Here is a 6000-nt window from a genome sequence, read left to right on the forward strand (position 1 = left end):
AGTTCTGTAGGCCATTGCACTTTCAATATAGCATTATTAAATCCAAATCATTACATAGCAATAAGCAAATAACTACACCCATAAGAAGAATGCCCATATAATTGAGCAAAAGAACACTTTGCCCTGGAGCCTGTGCTTTCAAGGGCTCCACTATGGTCCTCTCTCTGGCCACATTCCTCCCCAAAGTACAAGGAGTTTACCTGGTCCAAGGGGATGAGGTTAGTTGGAGGTGATGCTGCTCACCCCCACCTACCACCTTTTAGATCATGCTGTAGAACATAAAGACTTAGAATTCTGTCTTCAAAGGGTTTTGAGACTGCTTCCAGCGTCCATGTTCCTCTCCACCAGTTCTGTCTTTCATGGTGAACCACGTATACAGAGTGCACAACTAGAGGCCCTGTGGGCCAATGGGAAGCTTTTTGCTAGAGCTACAGTGGTAGACTGAGTTTCAACATATCAACAGAGGTACCCAAAACGTATACACAGAAGGCCTCTCATGGTATGAGACCAGGTCAGGGCACCGGCTCTCTCTATGTCGTCATATTCTATGCTGGATGTTGACGGCCCAAGAATTCTAGTTCCAAACCTGAATTTCATTGAGAAGGTATATGTGTCAAAGTGAGAGAACACAGCATACTTTATTTAACAGTTTGTTAACTTGATTTATAACTTTTAAATATGCAAACATACACTATATAGGTTTTGATTATTATTCTTGCCCTAGGCCTTAAGAATGTTAAGTTTAAGACAACTGAATATTTTATTAGATATAAGAATGCAACCACATATACTCAAAAACATAAATGTCAAACTAGTAGTCCCTACTTCTAAAATATAATGAAATATTCCATTTAACATTATATTTAGAGTGGATCCCTTATGGAATCATGACATCTTTGCTGATTTAGTTACAGTTGAACTAAGTATTTTGCCTGAAATCAACACTTTATTTTTCAAAACTCCCAAGATATAGTGTGTGACAGATATGTCTTCCACTTATTTTTTTAACCTAGGCTTTATTAATAAGACAAATTATTAGTCACAAATAAAACCTTAAAAATACAGTTCAGCCTTATTTACAACTATTTAGTTACCTAAAATATCCTACATTATACACACACAGGCGCACACACACATATTTCTAATAGAAACTATAAGAAGCAGCCTCGACAAATCAAGAGGACATTATGTTACGTAAAATAAGGTAAGAACAGAAAGTTAAACACTGCATGTTCTCACTCATATGTGGAAACTAAAAAAAAGTTGATCTCAGAGGAGGAAAAAGTAGAATGGAATATACTAGAGACAGGGAAGGGTGGGATGAGAGAAGGATAAAGAAAGATTTGTCAAGGGATACAAAATTAAAGCTAGAGACAAATAAGTTCTAGTGTTCTATAGCATTGTGGGATGACCGTAGTTGACAATAATATATAGTTTCAAATTGCTAGAAGGGGTAAACTGAATGTTCCCATCACAAAGAAATAATAAATTTTGACATGATGGATATGTGAATTACACGAATCTGTTAACTATTCATTGTATGTATCGAAATATCACTACATACCCCATAAATATGTACAATTATCACGTCAATTTAAAAAATATAATAATTAAGAAAAAATACAAAACATTAAATAACGGTGATAGTAGATTTGCCCTCTCAAATATTAAAACATTTGATAAATTTACATAGTTAAAATAGAGGGTAAATATAGAAAAATAATAAAAATTGTGATGAAATCTTGGTGATAACTTGACAGTGCTACTTTGAATATTAAGAATAGTGTAGCTGGCTGGGTGCAGTGGCTCATGCCTGTAATCCCAGCACTTTGGGAGGCTGAGGTGGGTGGATCACCTGAGGTCGGGAGTTTAAGACCAGCCTGACCAACATGGAGAAACCTGTCTCTACTAAAAATACAAAATTAGTTGGGCGTGTTGACAGATGCCTGTAATCCAAGCTACTTGAGAGGCTGAGGCAGGACAATCACTTGAACCCAGGAGGCGGAGGTTACGGTGAGCTGAGATTGTGCCACTGCACTCCAGCCTGGGCAACAGAGGGAGACTCCATTTCAACAACAACAACAACAACAACAACAACAACAAAATATATATATATATATATATATATATAGTGTAGCAGAACCAAAATTTAACAGGTGCAAACCTTTAAATAAGTGTATCCTCTCTAAATGATTTGAACTTGCTTATGGATAATCAAGGTCATAATGTTTGGGACATAAATGCCTGCATACTTATACCAAAATATATCAGCAGTTACAACTAAAATGATCTTACATATTATTTGTCATATCAGGACTATTACTATTATTATAATTACTATTTTTATTATGCTGAAGGTATATGATAAATTTTGAGATGTGATTGATGGATGCTTAGGTTTGAAGAAGCAAAATTAGAGAAAGAGCTTAAAGGTGTCTCTGATATCTTCCTTTCTCCCTGGATATGGGCTCTGTAACTACTACATTCAAATATAATCTGGAATATCTAAGGTGCTTTCTTCACAATCTTCCACAAGGGACTGAGAATCATAATGAGACACATTAATGAAGCCTAGTTATCATCTGATAATACTGTCATTAACATTTATTATCACATAATTAGATTGTGCATTAGCCATTTCTCAGAGCCACTTTAAAAGAAAAAAAAAATACGAGGACATATATGAGAACAAACACTGTAAGGAGTGCCTGTATAGTGATAATGTTTCAGAGTGAATGAGACATTTTATCACCTGGCATATTAACAGTGTGAAAGGACAGGGATCATATCAACCTCTCCCCTTCTTCTCTCTATCCTTTACATATTAGTTACTTGTTAAATCTTCTACCTTCTCAAACTGGAGCAATTATCTTAGCAATGACAGTTTTAGTGATGGGAGCAAATCATAATAGCTGTGGGTAATTGTTAGAAAGAAATGACTATAAATCATGCTGCTATAAAGACACATGCACACGTATGTTTATTGCGGCATTATTCACAATAGCAAAGACTTGGAACCAACCCACATGTCCAACAGTGATAGACTGGATTAAGAAAATGTGGCACATATACACCATGGAATACTATGCAGCCATAAAAAATGATGAGTTCATGTCCTTTGTAAGGACATGGATGAAATTGGAAATCATCATTCTCAGTAAACTATCGCAAGAACAAAAAACCAAACACCGCATATTCTCACTCATAGGTGGGAACTGAACAATGAGATCACATGGACACAGGAAGGGGAATATCACACTCTGGGGACTGTGGTGGGGTGGGGGGAGGGGGGAGGGATAGCATTGGGAGATATACCTAATGCTAGATGACGAGTTAGTGGGTGCAGCGCACCAGCATGGCACATGTATACATATGTAACTAACCTGCACAATGTGCACATGTACCCTAAAACTTAAAGTATAATACAAAAATACAAAAAAAAAAAAAACACAGCTCTGAACTTTATAGGTCATGATATCTCTGTAGCTTGTGGGTTTAGCTGCATTTTGAAAAAGATAACTGTGTCTCCCTTAGCATCTTCCTTTTTCCTATTTTTTCTTGTAAGTTTACAAAGGTCAGATGCCAGTATGATCTAGAATAAGAGGTTTTGTGGCTGACTTTGAAAGGTTACTTTAGAGAAAAATCTCATGAAGCAGCAGTACTCCAAAGTGCTGCGGGGAATGTGGCTAAAATCTTGTTACATCCTAATGGAGCTTCTAACACATTAGACATATAGAGCATCAGATTCCAGAATGTGTCTGAGGGATTTAGTCTCTAGTTACTAAAAGGAAACGAAGAGGCATCTCAAGGTTAGAGTTACACTGACGAGGTCATGTTCATGGGACATCAAAGCAACGTGGAAATCAATTCTATCATCATAGCAAAGCCTGAAGTGCCTGTTTAATGATTAATTAGAATAATAATTGAAATGCAACATAATTATGATAAACAAGGAAATGCCAGAGGCTTCTTTTCTCTATGGACTACAATACCATAGTGAATTGGGCCTTTCAAAATCCAGAAACTTTTTATTGGCTGTTTGTTTCACGAAAGCAGAAATACTCCAGGATGTGTTTTCAGTAATTAAGGTAATCTTTATAATACATATTTTACTTTAGCCCAGCTGACTATCCAAATGAGTGAGTGTTTGGTGACTAATGTAAATATCTGTATGAACCAATTCCAGATATTTTAGCTGTGAATGACTCCATGATAATTATAATAGAAGCAAAATGAGTGTTCCTCATTTTAATGTGACCTAATAACACCATATCATTTAAGACAATATTTATTTTTTAGTATAATATGAACTGGTCCTAATTCTGAGGTATGCTCATACCTTAGAGTATCAACACTAGAGAGTTATTACAATTAATGACTGGCTTTCTATTGTGTTACAGCCAGTTAAATTTTTTTTTTCAAAATTCTCTTCTGCAAGTCATTTCTGAGGTCTTCTTGCAAACCATTTGCACAGTCATAACATCTATACAAGTATTTGCTTATTACCTTGGCCAGAAAAATCTCTTTTCAAGGCTGCTTCACAGGGTTTCTTGAGTATGCATGAGTCAACACACATGTTCATAGAGGAGAAGATTGTGCTGATTTGCTCTACACCAACGTTCTGTTAAAGGTGGAACCAAGTCACTTCTGTCACTGATCAGAGCACCGCTTATAACCAAATAAAATAAAAATAAAAAATTTAAAATACTTAGCCTAGACCTGACTGCAATATCTAACAAAACTTTCCTGGAGGCTTAAGTATTAAGCGAAGTACAATACAGAAAGTGACTTCCTTGAAGAGATCCTTCACATCCCTTGTAAGTTGGATTCCTAGGTATTTTACTCTCTTCGTAGCAATTGTGAATGGGAGTTCACTCATGATTTGGCTCTCTGTCTGTTATTGGTGTATAGGAATGCTTGTGATATTTGCATATTGATTTTGTATCCTGAGACTTTGCTGAAGTTGCTTATCAACTTAAGGAGATTTTGGGCTGAGACGATGAGGTTTTCTAAATATACAACCATGTCATCTGCAAACAGGGACAATTTGCTTCCTCTTTTCCTAATTGAATACCCTTTATTTCTTTCTCTTGCCTGATTGCCCTGGCCAGAACTTCCAACACTATGTTAAATAGGAGTGGTGAGAGAGGGCATCCTTGTCTTGTGCCGGTTTTCAAAGGGAATGCTTCCAGTTTTTGCCCATTCAGTGTGATATTGGCTGTGGGTTTGTCACAAATAGCTCTTACTATTTTGAGTTACATTCTATCAATAACCTAGTTTATTGAAAGTTTTTAGCATGAAGGGCTATTGAATTTTATTGAAGGCCTTTTCCGCATCTATTGAGATAATCGTGGTTTTTGTCATTGGTTCTGTTTATGTGATGGATTATGTTTATTGATTTGTGTATGTTGAACCAGCCTTGCATCCCAGGGATGAAGTCGATCTTATTGTGGTGGATAAGCTTTTTGATGTGCTGCTGGATTCAGTTTGCCAGTATTTTATTGAGGATTTTTGCACTGATGTTCATCAGGGATATTGGTCTAAAATTCTCTTTTTTTTTGTTGCATCTCTGCCAGGCTTTGGTATCAGGATGAGGTTGGCCTCATAAAATGAGCTAGGGAGGAGTCCCTCTTTTTCTATTGATTGGAATAGTTTCAGAAGGAATGGTAACAGCTCCTCTTTGTACCTCTGGTAGAATTCAGTTGTGAATCTGTCTGGTCCTGGACTTTTTTTGGTTGGTAGGCTCAAAATACCAATGACTTTCTTCACAGGATTGGAAAAAACTACTTTAAAGTTCATATGAAACCAAAAAGGAGCCTGCATTGCCAAGACAATCCTAAGCAAAAACAAAACAAAACAAACAAACAAAAAACAAAGCTGGAGGCATCATGCTACCCAACTTTAAACTATACTACAAGGCTGCGGTAAACAAAACAGCATGGTACTGGTTCCAAAACAGAGATATAGATCAATGGAACAGAACAGAGCCCTCAGAAATCA

General features: G+C 36.5%; 1 long non-coding RNA gene across 1 annotated transcript in view; it reads right to left on the reverse strand.

Annotated features, from left to right (window-relative positions):
- Nucleotides 1–4863, reverse strand: part of LOC124901290 (uncharacterized) — a 27799-nt gene extending 22936 nt beyond the window's left edge. Inside the window, exon 1 of the long non-coding RNA XR_007059532.1 lies at nt 4507–4863. This is a non-coding gene — a long non-coding RNA (uncharacterized LOC124901290). The remainder of the gene's footprint in view (nt 1–4506) is intronic.
- Between the last annotated feature and the right edge of the window lie 1137 nt (nt 4864–6000).

Source organism: Homo sapiens, chromosome 6 (assembly GCF_000001405.40).
Source record: "Homo sapiens chromosome 6, GRCh38.p14 Primary Assembly".
NCBI lineage: Eukaryota > Metazoa > Chordata > Mammalia > Primates > Hominidae > Homo > Homo sapiens.